This window comes from Homo sapiens, chromosome Y (genome assembly GCF_000001405.40).
Source record: "Homo sapiens chromosome Y, GRCh38.p14 Primary Assembly".
Lineage (NCBI taxonomy): Eukaryota > Metazoa > Chordata > Mammalia > Primates > Hominidae > Homo > Homo sapiens.
The window spans coordinates 7,487,885-7,506,215 of record NC_000024.10 but is presented as its reverse complement, the minus strand read 5'-3'; the positions used below and the strand labels follow the sequence as shown (position 1 = coordinate 7,506,215).

The window sequence follows — 18,331 nt, the reverse complement described above, 5'->3', positions numbered from 1 at the left end:
ATATACAGAGTCCTCCTTTTTCAGCAGTGAGTAAATTGAGGCCTCAGTGATTTTGGAGGAAAGAGAAATGCAAAGCCAGCTATTGTTTGTTAAAGAAGGATTAGAAATGGCTAGGAGTGAGTGAGATTGATAGTGTGGTGGAGATAGCTGGGGAGAGGTAGAGGATGGCATAAGAATGTGAACGAGAGCAAGAGTGAGTATAAAAGTAAAGAATAAGACTTCATAAGGGTGAAAGTGTTAGAGTGTATCCTGTCAGCAAAGATCATCTATCCACTCCAAGAGGGAGTCAAGAATGAGGACTGGGGATAGATATTCATGATGGAAAGGAAATGAGAGGTTTTAAGAGGCAGTCTAATGGCTTGTAACCTACATGGAAGAGGTTCTGAAATGATGACAGAATAGAATGGGGCTGTGAGACTGGAAGGAGATATTTTTCTTGGTCCAAGAACCATTTGCCTTGTGTGGGAAGAGATTGATAGGTGGAAGTTTCAGTGGGAGAGTAAGTGGGAGTGACCTAAGAGAAGAAGAAAAACTGGCCATGAGAGACAGAAGTTGGAATGCTCGCTGCTTCTTTAACTACCTTATCAGCATAAGCATTCCCCTGAGCAATGGGATCTGATGCCTTTTTGTGGCCTGTGTAGTGTATGACTCCAGCTTCCTTTGGCAGTAAAGCAACCTTGAGAAGAGTTTTTATTAAAGAGGCATTAATAATGGAGGACACTTGGCCGGGCGCGGTGGCTCACGCCTGTAATCCCAGCACTTTGGGAGGCCGAGGCGGGCGGATCATGAGGTCAGGAGATCGAGACCACGGTGAAACCCCGTCTCTACTAAAAATACAAAAAATCAGCCGGGCGCAGTGGCGGGCGCCTGTAGTCCCAGCTACTCGGGAGGCTGAGGCAGGAGAATGGCATGAACCCGGAAGGCGGGGCTTGCAGTGAGCGGAGATCGCGCCACAGCACTCCCGCCTGGGCGACAGAACGAGACTCCGTCTAAAAAAAAAAAAAAAAAAAAAAAAAAAAAGGGAGGACCCTTGCATAGTGAGGAAATTTCTTTCTGCCCATATAACAGAATGGTGGTGCAGGATATGGAAGGTATATTTAGGGTCAGTATAAATATTGATGTGTAGTCCCTTTGCAAGAGTGAGGGCCCAAGTTAATGCAATGAGTTCAGCTTTCTGAGAGGTAGTGGAAGGGGGCAGAGCAGTAGCCGCAATGATAGATGTGGAAGATACTACAGCATAGCCTGCCTTTGCTAGTGAGTGGTGATTAGGCCTGGTGGAACTGCGATCAATAAACCAGGTGTGATCAGGGTGAGCAACAGGAAAGAAGGAAATGTGGGGAAATGGAGTGAATGCCAGGTGTATCAGAGAGATACAGTCATGGGGGTCAGGTGTGTTATCAGGAATAATGTGGAAGGCCAGATTGAAGTTCAGGCCAGGAACAATGGTAATTGTGGGAGACTCAACAAAGAGTGAATATAACTGAAGGATCCAGGGATCAGAAAGTATATGTGTCAGGTATGACAAGAAAATAGCTTTTGGAAGTTTTGAGAACTGTAGAGAGTAAGTTGAGTATAGTTTGTGATTTTGAGGGCCTCTAAAAGTATTAGGGTGGTGGTGGCCACCGCATGGAGACATGATGGCCAGCCTAAGACAGTAAGGTCAAGTTGTTTGGACAAAAAGGCTACAGGGCATGGTCCCGGTCCTTGTGTATGAATTCCAACTGCACAGCCCTGCACCTCGGCTTTGTGTAATGAAGTGTTCGGATGAGTCAGGGAGAGCTAGTGTGGGGGCAATTTCTAGGGCTGTTTTTAAGGAATGGAAAGAGGAGTGGTGAAAGGATTTAGGATCCATGGGGTCAGCTAAGTTTGCTTTCATGAGTTTATATAATGGTTTACTCAGGATGGTAAAACTAGGTGTACAAAGTCAGAGTATCTAACCATGCCTAGGAAGGAAAGGAGTTGTTGCTTTGTAGAAGTGGTTGGGGTTTGGGAGGTTAGCTGAACATAATCAGCAGGGAAAGCATGTGTGTTTTCTTGAAGATTATGTCAAGATAGGTAATGGATGAGGAAGAAATTTGGGCTTGACTGAAGTAATGGGAGCTATTTGTGAAGCCCTGTGGCAGTAAAGCCCAGGTAATTTGTTGAGCCTGATGGGTGTCAGGGTCAGTCTAAGTGAAAACAAAGAGAGGCTGGGATGAAGGGTGCAAAGGAATAGTAAAGAAAACATGTTTGAGATCCAGAATGGAATAATGGGTTATGGAGGGGTTGTGGAGGGAAGTATTGAGGTTGGAGAGTATATGGGTTTGGCACCATGAAGTGGATATGCAAGACAATTTGGTTGATAAGGCACAGATCCTGAACTAACCTGTAAGTCTTGTCTGGTTTTTGGACAGGTAAAATGGGAGAATTGTTAAGGAGAGTTTATAGGTTTTAGAAGCCCATGCTGTAGCAGGTGAGTGGTAACAGGCTTTAATCCCCTTAAAGCCTGTTATGGGATAGGATACTGGAGTTGAGCGGGGTAAGGGTGATTAGGTTTTAGTGGGATGGTAAGCAGGGCATCGTCTGTGACCAAGGAGGGAGTAGAGGTGTCCTATACTTGCGGATTAAGGCAGGGAGATACAAGGAAAGGATGTGAAGGAGGCTTTAAACTGGGGGAATAGGTGGCAATGAGGTGTGGCTGTAGCCCAGGAATAGTCAGAGAAGCAGATAATTTACTTAAAATGCCTTGACCTAATAAGGGAGCTGGGCAGGTGGGGATAACTAAAAAGGATCACATTAAAGAATGTTGTCCAAGTTGGCACCAGAGTTGGGGAGTTGTAAGAGGTTTAGCAGCGTGGCTGTGAATACCCACAATGGTTATGGAGGCAAGCAAAACAGGCCCTTGAAAAGAAGGTAATGTGGAGTGGGTAGCCTCTGTATTGATTAAGAAGGGATGGACTTGCCCTCCACTGTAAGAGTTACCCAAAGCATCCGTGATGGTCCAGGAGGCTTTCTAGGTGATCAGGCAGCATCAGTCTTCAGCCACTAAGCTGATAAGATATGGGAAGGAGTCAGCCAAGGAACATTGGGTTTGGGCTCCAGGGACTTTACGAGTGGTGGCGATGTGAGTCAGACTGTCTGACCTCCAGTGGGAGCCTGCACAGAGAGGGCGTGGCTCAGGAGGAATCCCAGACTGCAGACATTCTAAGGCCCAGTGGCCAGGCTTTTGACATTTGAAGTAAGGTCCATGAGGATGTTTTGAAGGAGCGCCTGGGACCTGTGGCTTGCATGTTCTGAAGTTCTTGTATGCTGAGATGTGGCTGTGGGTTGTCTTACAGAGGAGGCAAGTAGCTGAACTCAGAAATGTGTTGCTGTCTGGCTACCTCCTCTCTGTTATTGTACACCTTGAAGGTGAGGTTGACTAATTCCTATTGTGGGGTTTGAGGGCTGGATTCCAAATTTTGAAGCTTTTTTCTAATGTCAGGAGCTGACTGGGTGATAAAATGCATATTAGGAATAAGGTGGCCTTCTGACCCCTCTGGCTCTAGGGTGGTAAAGTGTCTAAGGGTTGCTGCTAACTAAGCAGGCCATGAACTGGGCTGGGTTTTCCTCTTTACTTTGGGTAGTTTCTTTAAATTTGTCATAATTAACAACTTTGTAAGCTGCCTTTTTAAGCTCTTCAACTAGGCAGGAAACCATGTAATCTCGCCTAGCTATACCTGGGGAATCTGCCTGATGGTTCCATTGGGGATATTCCCAGGGAACTGCTCTAATGCCTTCCTAGGGGTCTGGCTCATGAAGCTGGTGGTTATTAGCATGAAATTGGGCTAGAGAAAAAACTTTTTCCCATTCATCTGGGGAAAGGGTAGAAGTTAGGATGACATTTAAGTCACTCCAGGTTAAATTGTAGGACAGAGTTAGATATCGGAATTCCTGTATATATTTAGTGGGGTCTAATGAGAAACAGCCTAAACTCTGGCTGATTTGGTAAAGGTCTGATAGAGAAAAAGGCACATGTATCCTGACTATGTCTTCAGCTCCAGCCACTTCTCTAAGAGGAAATTTTGGGCAAGTGCGGGAGAGCTAGTCATGGAACAAAACTGTAAGCCAGACTGGGTGTGAGGAGGGGAGGTGATAGAAAGATTACAGGGTCAGGGAGCAGAGGCTGAGGAAGAATTGGGACCTGGCTCAGCTTGGCAAGGAGCAGCCCAGGGACAAGGGGAGAGGTCAGAAGATTCCATAGAAAAGGATTCAAAGGACCCAGAGCTTGGGGTGGAGACTGAAGGAACAGAAAGGAGAGAAAGAAGAAAGATTTGGGATGAGTCATATTGGGAGCAGAGGCTAGGGAGGGACCAATGTGTAAAAGAATGCCTGGACATCAGGCACCTCTGACCATTTGCCCATTTTTTGACAAAAATTATCTAGATCTTGTAGGATAGACAAATTGAAAGTGACATTTTCTGGCCACTTGGAACTACTGTTGAGCTTGTATTGGGGCCAAGCAATATTGCAGAAGAAAATAAGATGCTTAGATTTTAGCTCAGGTGAGAGTTGAAGAGGTTTTAAGTTCTTGAGAACACAGACTAAGGGAGAAGAAGGAGGAATGGAGGGTGGAAGGCTGCCCATAGTGAAGGAGGCAAGTTTAAAGAGAAGGGTAGAGACACAGAAAAGGGGTGGGGAGCAGCCCTGGGCTGCAATGTGGGTGAGCAGCCAAAGCAGGCATCCTTGCAATTGACTTGCCACCAAGGGAATGTGGGTGAATGACCAAGGCAGTCATCCCCATGGTGACCAGACACCAATGGAATGTGGGTGAATAATCAGGTAGACTTCCCCGCAGTGATTAAACACCAATAGAGTGTGGGTGAATAATCAGGCAGGTGTCCCCACAATGATTAAACACCAAGGACGGCTGTCTTTTCCAGTCCATGACTGACACCAGAGTTTTGGGTTCATGGATAAAATGTGTCTCCTTTGTCTCTAACAGAGAGGAAAAAGAACTGGAATTGGAAGGACGGGGAGACTGAAGGGTAGCAAGAGAGGCTGGAGAAGAGATTGAAAATACCACTTACCCAATTTGAGATTGGTGAGATGTTCCTTGGGCTGGTTGGTCTAAGGACTCGAGGTCATAGGTGGATCCCTTCATGGAGTGAGAGTGAGGACAGGGGCCTGGTCTCCCGAAGGAATCCCTGTGACCTGGGTCTTTGGCACCAAATGACATGCACATCCATCTGAAAAGACCACCAAACAGGCTTTGTGTGAGCAACAAGGCTGTTTATTTTACCTGGGTGCAGGCAGGCTGAGTCCGAAAAAGGAGTCAGCAAAGGGTGGTGGGATTGTCATTAGTTCTTATAGGTTTTGGAATAGGTGGTGGAGTTAGGAGCCATGTTTTGCAGGCAGAGAGTGGATCTCACAAAGTACATTCTCAAGAGTGGGGAGAATTACAAACAACCTTCTTAAGGGTGGGGGAGGCTACAAAGTACATGGATTGATCAGTTGGCGGGGCAGAAACAAATCACAATGATGGAATATCGTCAGTTAAGGTTATTTTCACTTCTTTTGTGGATCTTCAGTTGCTTCAGTCCATCTGGATATATACTTGCAGTTCACAGGGGATATGATGGCTTAGTCTGGGCTCAGAAGCCTGACAGAAGCTTTAAAGAGAATGACATCTCAGATTTCTGAAACTGCCTTTGGAAAAATTATAGCAGTGAAACAAATTATGGCAGTGGGGGAGATCTGATCTAGCCAACACCCTTCTTGCCTTTAGCCTCCAACCCGCAAGACATTTAGCTTATAGTTTAAATGATAATAGGACTTCCGCAAAACTCAACCACCTTTGTAAAGCTAAGGAGAGACCACCAGGCTAGGCCAGAGGAGTCTGAATTCTGTTAAAGTGCAGACAGAAATGATTGGTAGCCATTATTCCAGAAGTCACAAGCTATGCAACTTCCCCAATTACTCCTGCAGATAACATCACTGTTGCTGAACTGAAGGACTGGTCTTTTGAGATGTCTTTTCAGGTGTTTTTGCATGTCTGACACCCATGGCAACACCTGGACCCACCAATTGAGGGCTCCACACTCTTGTGGTGCCACCTAGAAACAACTTAGCCTGGGAGGACAGCTTCAACTCCCTATGATTTCATCTCTGACCTAATCAATCAGCAGCAGGCACCCATTGCCTAGCCACCCAGACTCCTTTCCCAAACTACCTTCACAAAATCCTAACCTCCAATTTTTGAGTAATAACTCCATCTCCCATGTGGCATACCTGACCTTGTGTCTATTAAGCTCTTGCTTTATTGTAACATAATGGTCTCAGCAAATTGTTTTTTTTTTTTTTTTCTGTTTGGTGGGCAGAAAGAACCCGTCATGTAGTTACATATATACTTGACAAATGTTTATTTCCCTGAGCCCTCATTGAGTCCCAAGGCTGAGATTGTGATGTATTAGAAGCCATGGTCTGTTTAACACCCTTACACATATAATCCAGCCATCCCACTTCTGGGTATACATCCAAGATAATTGAAATGAGTGTGTTGAAGAGATATCTGCACTCTCACGTTCACTGAAGATTATTTACAAGAGGTGAGATGTGGACACCATGCCAATGTCCATTTGCAGATGAATGGATACAGAAAATGTGCTTGTCCAGCCCTGGTGGCTCATGCCTATAATCCCAGAACTTTCAGAGACTGGGGCAGGAGGATCAGTTGAGGCCAGGTGTTTGACAGCAGCCTGGGCAACACAGCTAAACCCAATCTATTAAAAAAAATGTTTTTAAATTAGTTGGGCATCATGGCTGTGCTTGTAGTGCCCAGTTACTCAGGAGGTGAAGGTGGGAGTATTGCTTGAGTTCAGGAATTCAACACTGCAGTAAGCTATGATCATGCCACTGCACTCCAGCCTGGGCAACAGAGAAAGACCCTGTCTCTAAAATATGATGATGAGGAAGAAGGAAGAAGGAGGAGGAGGAGGAGGAGATGAAGAGGAGAAGAAGAAGGAGGAGTAGGAGGAAGATGAGCAAGAGGAAAGGAAGAAGGAGAAGGAGAAGAAAAAAGAAGAAGAGGAAGAAAAGAAGGAGGAGGAGGAGAGGAAAGGTGGAGGAGGAGAGGAAAGGTGGAGGAGGAGAGGAAAGGTGGAGGAGGAGGAGGAAAGAAGGAAAGTAGAAAATGGGATGAGCTACATAAAATTTGGAAATGCAAGCTTTTTTGTAACCAAACACATACCAAGACCCAGCTGATTCTAACTCCTCTACTTTGAGGCTATGTCATCTTGGAAAAGTTACACGACTTTGATTAGTCTCAGCTTCTTCATCCAAAGCCCTAATGTATCTTCTATAAGATGGGCAAAATGAAGGAAACTATCACAGTTGGAAGGGGCAAAAGTTGAGACCATGCAGTAGAGATTCTTGAGTCCAGGTGGGCATCAATCACTCCCATGATCACTTAAGGACCCCATCAATACACAGCCATTTCCACTCTAGTGAGCTTCTCTAGGGCTTCACTGCAAAGCATCCACTATGCTCCTTCCAATTCAAGATGCAGCTTCCAACCCCACTACATGGCTGTGTTACTGCACCGTGTTATTCCATTTTCCTTCTCTTCTTTTTTCTTTCCAACTTTTATTTTAGGCTCAGAATGTCCACGTGCAAGTTTGTTACGTGGGTAAATTGCATATCAAGAGGGTTTGGTGTACAATTTCATCATCCAGGTGGGAAGCATAAAACCCAGTAGGTAGTTTTTCAGTCCTCTCCCTCCTCCCTTCCTGCACCCTCAAGTAGCCCCCAGTGCCTGTCATTCACATCTTTATGTCCATGACTACCTAAGGTTTGGCTCCTACTTAGAAGTGAAAACAATCAGTACCTGGTTTTGTGTTCCTACACTAATTCACTCAGAATAATGGCCTCTAGCTGCATCCATGTTGCTGCAAAGTATTCCAGCGTGTCTATGTACCACAATTTCTTTATCCACTGATGGGCATCTAGGTTGATTCCAAGTTTTTGCCATAGTGAATAGCGTCACTTGGTTTTCCACCCTCAAATATGACTATGAATTTATTCTATTGTGTCCCTCCCATTCCACTATAATTTTTTTTCTTTCCATTGGTCATCTAAAGCAAAATCATTTTCCCTCTCTCCCCCATGGTCCCATCTTCCCACGGTCTTTCAGCACACCATTTCCATCCACAGTGACGTCAGGAGGAGGTAGTTACCATGACTCCTCACTGATGTTTATGCCTCTGCTTTTGTAATAAAGTGCATCATTGGAAGTCCTTGTCTTCCAATCATGCCACATTCTACAGTTCTTGTTTGCCTCACAAACATCTGCTCACTGTCAGACTCCTGGAGCTTCAGTCAATCCATACAATAAAGTGGGCTGCTCTGCTGTGGCCCTTTCTCTATGGAAAAGAGGTCTGAGCTCTGAGACGGGAACATCTCATTGACTGGGAGAGCCAACTGCAAAGTCACTACATTGCAGTGAAAGGAAAACAGAACATTACACCTTATTTCTCATGTGGATGGAAATCTGGACTCTCATAGAAGCTGAAGAGTGGTATACTCTTGGCTAGCTCCTAAAGCCTAGCTTTCATCTCAGACCAAAGTTCCATAGCAAAACATTCTCTTTGCTTTCTATTCCTTGCTTTGACAGATTTCCAGAAGGAGGTTTTTCATTGAGTAAATGCAGACATAAATTTCTCATCAAAGGCAAAATGGATTTTGTGACTATTACCCGTGTTTTCTCTAGTTTCCACCATATAAATTGGGTTTCTGATGGCCATTAATTTTCCCAGAATAGAGACACTCATATAGTTGCCAGTTATACTGAAAAGGCAAAAAAGAAAAAAAAAAAGTCCCGATCATTCAGGATTTTTGCAGTCAAATCTCTGTTCATTTTATCACTAACAGTATGCCATAATCACAATATATGGTAGTAGTATTTTCACTATACTGGAAAATGGAAGATTACAGTGAGAAAACTGTGTTTTACAGATGTAAGAGGACTGCTCACTTAATTTCATGTGAGTTGCTTTCTAATAACATTGTAGGCTATTTTGATTCTGATCTGTTCTATTCTCTTATCCCATGCTCCCACCTAAATTTTTGAACTGGTATTTATGTTTAGGAAAATCTCTTGTAATGGAAAGAATAAGACTCTACTACCAAAACCTAAGGAGTTCAATAATATATTCCTGTACTATCAGCAACAATGACATGATCCCTTTGTATTTACTGGGCAGTGATAAATCTTAACAATCTAAGTAAAACTAACAAAGTAAATCTAAGAAAATCCAACAATTAAAGTAAAAACTGGATTTAGGGTAGTAAACATAAGAAAGACTTGAAAATCATACAAAAGTCTCCCTTTGATCTTCCTTCTCCATCTTTCCCCACAGGAATGGCCAGAATTGCAAATGAGAATAAGAGCTATGCTTCCTTCCTCCTTCAACAGTAAAATGATGCAGAATAAACTTAAGATGGAAAAAAAATGGGGATAAATGCGTGACCTGGGATATTATCCAGTGGAGCCACAAAAAGTCTTTCGAACCAGTGACAATGGAATAAATACAGTGCAGCCTATGAATTAGAGTGAATTGAAACTTTTCGATTAGAAGATGAGAAAGTTTGTCTTGTGGGTTAGAGCTTTAAATCTCTCTGTGTTATGCTGTGGTTTCCATTTTTGTACCATCTATAATAATTTGATTATTTGGATATAGAGGAAAATGTAACCTATTTTTTCAGCCTGCAAGAAATAGCACATAGCATCATCCAACTCACTAAACAAATAAATCAACATGTTTATTGCTTAAAAATGTATCACACAAATTCAGTTTCTGCTTTGTTACTGTAAGGCTAGTGGATAAATAAAGCATGGTTGTATGTTAAAAAAAAAAAAAAAAAAAAAAAAAAACAGAGAGAGATGGAGCCTAAAGAAGTCCAACCACAATTTCTTGTGCAAAATCTTAGAGAAGCTGGGTTGAAGTGCTTTGTAGCACCTCATTAATATTTGTTGTAGCCACTGTGATGCCAGGCTGTGGAGAAACTGATGATCTGACAATTGTAAATCACTCAAATGTGTACATCCATAGAGCAACATGGATTTTAAAGGGTTGTCTATATTTCTAGGAGGAAATTTACTAACACATTCACCCAAATATTTAACTTAATATGATACGTCATTTACTGTGCAAATGCCTGATTGAAACAGTATGGGGGAAAGCTGTTTTTATGGAGAAATAAGGAATAAGGAATTCACTGTTCGGTTTTTGTGTTTGTCCTGGATATAACAGCCTTCACTCTCTTCTACCAGAACGTCTGCTGGCAAAAACACAATGGCAGCACAACTGAGAACAAGACCTAGACTTAACCTCGCAGTTGGAGTTAAGGCGGCTTTTCCAACTGTAACTTCAACGTCTGCAAAGCAATCATTGATCTGAACTTCTTCTATGATGGATATTTCTAAATGATATAAAGGTGGGAAAAAATAGAAAACTTACAGGATAATCCTCATTAATTAAAGCAGTAGTTATTATTTGCTTTTCAATATGTAAAATTTTCCCAAAATAATTTTTGTTTTTGGTAGAGATAGAGGGGTTTCACTTGTTGCCCAGGCTGGTCTCAAATTTCTAGACTCAAGCAATCCTCCTGCTTTCACCTTCCAAAGTGCTGTTATTACAAGGGTAAGCCACCACTCCTGGTCCCAAAATAATTATATGATTATGTTTGACTAACCTGAAAGATTTCCTCATAATCTAATGTCACCTGAATTATGAAATACATTGGGAATTTAGATCTGAATTTTGGAATATACACAAGGCACTTGAGTTCCTAAAAATAGGAAAGGTATTCTGATTATCCTAATAATAAAATGTCCCTGAGAAGTAGCAGGCACTTAATATTTTGGAGGGTCATTGACTCTGAATCTCAAAGTAATTTAATATTTATAAATTCAGATTTTTTTTTTGAGAGAGGGTCTCACAGGCTGGAGTGCAGTGATGCAATCATAGCTCACTGCAGACTTGACCTCCTGGGCTCAAGTGATACTCCCATCTCAGCCTCACAAGTAGCTGGGACTACAGGTACATGTCACCATGGCCAGCTAATTTTTTTTTTTTTTTTTTAGATATGGGGTCTTACTATGTTGCCCATGCTGGTCTGGAACTCCTGGGTTCAAGCCATTATCCCACCTTGGCCTCCCAAAATGTTGGAATTACAGGTATGAGCCACCCAGCCTAGCCAAAAACTCTGATTTTCAACAAAAGGCAAGAGGATTGTGTGGAGAATATATCTTCTTGATCAAAACATGAAATCTTGCATAGATATGAGGATTCTGATGAATAAGAATTTGGAGAATGCCCAGAGAAATAATGCATTCTTCTGGGCACACAGGAAAACCGCACACAATTCAGACTCACCACTCCTGGCCCTAAACCTGCAGTCAGGACCAAGTTGTCAGGACCTAATTAAGGCCAAAGGAGTTTGGCTACATTAAAAATAAATCATTTTTGATATGATAATTACCCTAATTTTGTCACTGTACATTATACATATTGAAACATCACTATGTACCCCATGAATACGTGCTGTTGTTGTCAATTTATTGTTTGTTTTTTAGACAGGGTCTCACTCTGTCACCCATGCTGGAGTGCGGTAGCTTGATCTCAGCTCCCTGCAACCTCCACCTCCCAGGTTCAAGTGATTCTTTTGCCTCAGCCTCCTGAATAGCTGGGATTACAGGCACCTGCCACCACGCCCAGCTAATTTTTGTATTTTTAGTAGAGATGGGGTTTCACCACATTGGCCAGGTTGGTCTTGAACTCCTGACCAAACTTCCAAGTTTCTTAGGGACTAGAGTGAGGCATTCATCTAGGGCACCAGATTTATTCTATTTTATTATTATTATTTTGAGGTGGAGTCTCAGTCTGTAGCCTAGGCTGGAGTGCAGTGACACAGTCTTGGCTCACTGCAACCTCTGCCTCCTGGGTTCAAGCGATTTTCCTGCCTCAACCTCCTGAACAACTGGGATTACAGGCACCTGCCACCACACCCAGCTAATTTTTGTATTTTCAGTAAAGATGGGGTTTCAGCACATTGGCCAGGTTGTTCTGGAACTCCTGACCTCAGGAAATCCAACTGCCTCAGCCTCCCAAAGTCCAGGGATTACAGGCATGAGCCACCATGTCCAGCCTTATTTTTAAATTAAAATTAAATATATATATATATATATATAAAATGATTATATGTATATATCTCCTGAATCTGTCAGAAAAAAAGAAAAAGTCAAAAAGGGAATAAAACAAAACAAAAAAAAAAACAACAAGCCTCTCCCTACCAGTGACATCCCAAGGGTGTAGCCCTCTGTTCCTCAAATAGGTAAGAAGCAGATCCATATCTATAGGGAATTTTAACATAATGTTAAAACAAACCCAATTGGGCTTGTTTGTAGTTGTCATCACACATCGGCCATTCTTCCAATTTTATTTACAAAGTACAAAGCTGATATTATTGCAAACTGATACAGCTGCTTTTGCATTTTAATAATAATATTGCATATGAGAGCTTCAAGATATTTGTTAATTGTCTTTTGATGAGACTTGCATTCCACAGGAAGATTCAGGGAACTGTCACAGTCAACCGGCGACATAGACAGGCTCAGAGACACATGATCTTTTTGAGAATAGATTTGCACGAGTGCAGAATCTTCATTTTAGGTCTCTATTCCCCATGCTTCTAAATACTCTTGGGTTTAAAGTGTGGACTGGAAAGCAACATTGATAAACGTAATGAAAAAATAACAGCAGTTAGGATCCAATTTTTTTTTTTTTTTTTGAGACAGAATCTTGCTATGTCACCCAGGCTGGAATGTAGTGGTGTGATTTTGGCTCACTGCAACCTCTGTGTCCCAGGTTGAAGCGATTCTTCTACCTCAGTCTCCTGAGTAGCTGAGACTACAGTTGTGCACCACCACACCCTGCTAGTGTTTGTATTTTTAGTAGAGATGCCATGTTGGTCAGGCTGGTCTTGAACTCCTGACCTCAAGTGATCTGCCCACCTTGACCTCCCAAAGTGCTAGGATTACAGGTGTGAGTCACCAAGCCTGGCTCGAATTAATCTTTGAATCACATAGAGTTCACTTGTTTGCAATGATTTCTTCATGTGGCTTTTCCCTTTTCTCCAAAAATTGACATAATTAGAATGTATTAATCCATTACTTTTCCCTTTATACAGTAATATTAATCTTATTGTAGAGATTTATGAGGCACAATATGATGTTTTGATATTTGCTCACATTGCAGGATGATTAAATTAGACTACTTATTCATCACCCAACATATTTTTGTATCGGTAGTGAGAATATTTTAAACTTTGTTATTCTCTTATCCATTTTCAAGTATACCATGCTATTAACCATAGTCACCACATTGTACAGTAGATCTCCTGAACGTATTCATCCTGCGTCATTGAGATTTTGCATCCCCTGACCAACATCTTCCCTAATTCCCTACACCACTCCCTAGCCAATGGGAACCACCATTCTACTCTCTACTTCTAGCACTTCCACTTCTTTAGCTCCCACATAGAACTGAGATTGTGTGATGATTGTTTTTCTGTACCTCATTTATTTCACTTAACATAATGTCCTCCAGCTCCATCTATGTGGCTGCAGACTGCAGAGGAAGTAATTTTATTCTTTTTCGTTTTTTTTTTTTTAAGACAGAGTCTCACTCTGTTGCCCAGGCTGGAGTACAGTGGCGTGATCTCAGCTCACTGCAAGCTCCGCCTTCCAGGCTCAAGCAGTTCTTCTGCCTCAGCCTCCTGAGCAGCTGGAATTACAGGCACCTGCCATCATGCCTGGCTAATTTTTGTATCTTCGTAGAGACAGGGTTTCACCTTGTTGGCCAGGTGGGCCTTGAACTACTGACCTCAGGTGATCCATCCACCTTGGCCTCCCAAAGTGCTGGGATTACAGACTTGAGGCACCACACCCAACCAAATTTTATGATATAATATATTATGTCTGCATAGTAATTTTTTTATTTTTATTTTATACATTATATAATATATATAGTATAGTGTATGTTGGATATTAATATCATATATTATATATGATGTTATGTAAGATATGTTGTATATTATTATATATGATATGTTGGATATTATACATTACTATATATGATATAATTTATTTACATGTGTTATATATGATATATATTATTATATATCATATGTTGTATATGATATATTATTATATATCATGTTATATATTATATAATATATTATTATATATCATATGTTATATATTATATAACATATTATTATATACCATATGTTATATATTTTATATATTATATCATATATTATTATATATGATATAATATATTATTATTTGTCATATATTATTATTAATATTATTAATATAATTAATATTTTGTTTTCTTTTTGATTTTTTTCCCAAATTCAGGATATATATATATATATATATATATTTTATATATATATATATATATATTTTATATATATATATATATATATATTATATATATATATATAATTTTAATTGAGAAATAAGACCAGACACAGTGGGCTCATGCCTGTAATCCCAGCACTTTTGGCGGCGAAAGCGGTTGGATCACCTGAGGTCAGGAGTTCGAGACCAACCTGGCCATGTGGTGAAAAAGATGAAAAGCAGGAGAAGGAGGAAGAGAGGAGGCTGAGGGAGAGAAGAAGAGAAGAGAAGGAGGAGAAGGAAGATGAAGAGAGGAGAAGAAAAAGGAAAAGGAGGCGGCAGAGGAGAAGGAGGAGGAGGAAGAAAGGTTTACCGCCTTCAGGGCCATTTGAGTCAGAGGAGTCCCCACTGCAATCATGATAATGCAGTCAATGGAAACAAAGGCTGACTGGCATGAACTCAGGAAGAGTGGCTGAGAACATGCACACATGAAACAGATAGGATGGGGGAGGTGAGAGCAATGAAGACCACATCTCATCCTGTAGTGCACGAATCCGTGTGGACGTTGGCATCCATGACAATGCCTCCATGAAAGCATTAAGTCTTATCCCCTGCTCTCATCCTGGAAAAGGTTCTTGAAGTCCCCTCCCTGCAATGTTCACTGGAGGAACTGAACCTTAATTGCTACTAAGAAACCTTTTGGCAGTGGAAGAAATGCAAGATAAAGTCTAATTGGCTGATGACTGCTTATGGGCCCACATTCAGGAATCATTTATCTTTCATGTTTGGCAGCAAATTTTCAGAGCTCAGAGCAAATGTTTACATGTTTTTGAGTTTATGTGATACTGTAATTTTGCAACACTTTGGTTGGAGATATTTTGATTGGTCTTTTTGCTTATTATAATAAGACATAATAAATCATAATATGTCATCATAACTGAATTATAAGGCTGGAAAGAATGTTAAGGAGTCAATAAGAGCAAGCAATCCCCAACTGGTACTGCTGATAAGTATTTCTGGGCACCTGCAATGTTGGGGTGTGCTTCACAATGTTTAGGACAATCTCCCTCTGTGTCTGATGGGTTGTGAAAATTCCCAAAACTTCCACTCTCTCCATGACACAGTTTACCAAAAAACTTGGGTGTATTTTTGTTTGTTTGTTTGTTTGTTCATTTTGCTAGGGCTGCCATCACAAAATTCTGTAGTATGAATGGTTTAAAAGAACATAAATTTATTGCCTTATGGCTCTGGAGAGCAGAAGTCTGATATCAAGGTGGCGGCACAGTTCATTCTCTTTGGAAAGAAAATCTGCCACTGTGTTTGCTTCTGGTGAATTTCATTAATTCCTTGGTGTTCTTTGCTTGTAGACCTGTCATCTGATCTCTCCCTCTATGGTCACTTTGGTAATATTTATTTTCATCCAATAGAGCAGGCATCCCCAACCCCCAGGCCATGGACCAGTACCACTCCATGGCCTGTTACAAAGTGGGCCACATAACAGGAAGTGATAAGCAAGCGGGCGGGCAAGCAAAGCTTCATCTGTATTGACAGCCAATCCCCATCGCTCACATAACCACATGAGTTCTGCCTCCTGTCAGATCAGTAGTGGCATTAGATTCTCATAGGAGCATGAACCCTACTGTGAACTGCCCATACGAGGGATCTAGTTTGACGCTCCTTAAGAAAATCTAATGCCTGATGATCTGTCACTGTCTCCCATCAGCCCCAGATGGGACTGTCCAGTGGCAGGAAAACAAGCTCAGGGCTCCAACTGATTCTACATGATGGTGAGTTGTAGAATTATTTCATTATGTATTACAATATTATAGTAATAGAAATAAAGTGCACAATCAATGTAATATGCTTGAATCATCCCAATGTCATTGTCCTGCCCTGGATCCACATAAAAATTGTCTTACATGAAACCTCTCCTTGATGCCAAAAAGGTTGGGGATCACTGCAATAGAGTGGAAGGTGAAGTAGAGTGTACAGAAATAATCCAACAGAAAGCAGCTGGTTAAGTTGTTAGCTGGTGCATGCAGATTTCTGGGACCACTCTCTACTCTTCACCATCTCTATCTTGTCAGCACCAATACTCGCCAATATTTCATATGGCAAATATGAGTTTAGAATGGGCATACCATAATCGACCTAAATAAGTGACTTGTCTATTATGACAGACACTACCTACTAATACTAATGTTTTAATATTTATTATTATTCAGGTATTCATGAGCTTTGACTATTGTAAACACGGAGGCAAGTTCTTCTTTACAACCGAGTGACCTGCCCAAAAGTCAGTCAGGCTGAGGGAAAACTCCAGCTCATTAACTATCAATCTAGTGTTCAAGGAACAGACCAAATGGCACTTGTCAAATTGAGTTTTAAAGTCTACTTCTATTATAAATTGTCTCCGCCCAGCTTTAAATGCAAAGTTCCATAGCTGAAATTAATTGTTGGTTTCTCGACAGAAAACATGAGCAAGCTGTGTTGAGTCACTTCATGGTATGTCTTACCATGGGATTGTTCATCAGAATAATGTTTTATTAGACCTAATTAGGGATTCATTAGTGGGAAATATGTGTATTTGGATTTCGCAGATGATGAGACATGCCCTGTTTTTTTGCCTCATCGAGTTTTGACTGATAAGACACCTGGGTGACCCCATCAAAGAGAAATTCTACCATGGTTTGAAATATTACAGTTGTAGCAAAGCTTGCTTCTCAAAACCATACCACCCCAAAGGCATATGATATGCATAATATTCATTGCAATATTTGGGCATGTTTATATACAGCATAAAACTTATTTGCCACTTGTGCATCTTGGTTTAATCGATTGTTATGTCTTTGATCTCCGGCCAAATTAAAGGTTATTTGGTAGTTTCTATGAATTCAGAGACAATTTTATGAACCATCGCCTTTCCAATGTGAAAAGAATGCCTGGGTGAAGTGACAGTAGCAATTGCATCTTCACAAAACAGCAAGAATGCATCCTCTCCCATGTTGGGTGGGTGGCACCTGAATGATAAGGCTGACAGTTTCATTGGTGGTAGAGAGGGAAAACTTATTTAAAGTGAATAACTGCATTTTGCCAAGGGCTGTCACCTTTGCCAAGGAAGCTGAGTTTGAATCCACCATGCAGAAGGTGCAAAGGATCTTTAAGCAATATGTAAACATGTCCAAATATTGTGACAAATAAATAAACAGGGAATGCAAGTTTTCAAGAGAGGGACATGAGGGAGGAAGCAGTCTTGGTTACCCCTTCCAGCAGCAAGGCTACCAGGAGGAAGGTGCTCCAAATGCCATGGGCACAGCAGGATGACCAGAGTGACGTCTTTTCCTGAGCAATGAGGGGCCCAGAAAACACAGAAACACCTGAGAGCGGCTCCATTTGTCTTTTATCAATATTTAAGCATGGATTTTTTACATGGAATCACAGTTATCCATTCCATATTGCTGGCTAAATGGCAACATTATCTATTTTTTTCTGATCCTTCATTCTTTCATTTGTATTTGGAAACAGCAAAGTTGCTGTTTTCAGATGACCACAGAATATTACTACAGTGAATGCTTTCCACCAAAAGGTATAATATTTTTTATTCTGTGCTAGTTCAGTGCTTAATTTGCATAGTAAGATTCATGTATACATACATGCATACACATGCACACAAGTATGTATACAGGCATTGTCATGGTTAATTATATGTGTCAACCTAGCTGGGCCATGGGGTTCCCACATATTTGGTCAAATGTTACCCTAGATGTGTTTATGATTATTATTCTTGTTGAGATTAACGAATAAATCAGTAGACTTAGTAGAGTGGATTGTCTTCTCTTATGTGGGTAACAGAGTAATTGGCTCAATGGTGGTGTCATTAGGGAACAGGGAGGAAAGACAAGAAAA

At 41.2% G+C, this 18,331-nt stretch overlaps 1 long non-coding RNA gene across 1 annotated transcript in view; it reads right to left on the bottom strand.

The window, feature by feature from the left end:
- Window positions 1-18,331, bottom strand: part of LOC107987338 (uncharacterized) — a 61,978-nt gene that overhangs the window by 14,376 nt on the left and 29,271 nt on the right. The window contains exon 2 of the long non-coding RNA XR_001756055.2: window positions 5,049-5,207. This is a non-coding gene — a long non-coding RNA (uncharacterized LOC107987338). The remainder of the gene's footprint in view (window positions 1-5,048; window positions 5,208-18,331) is intronic.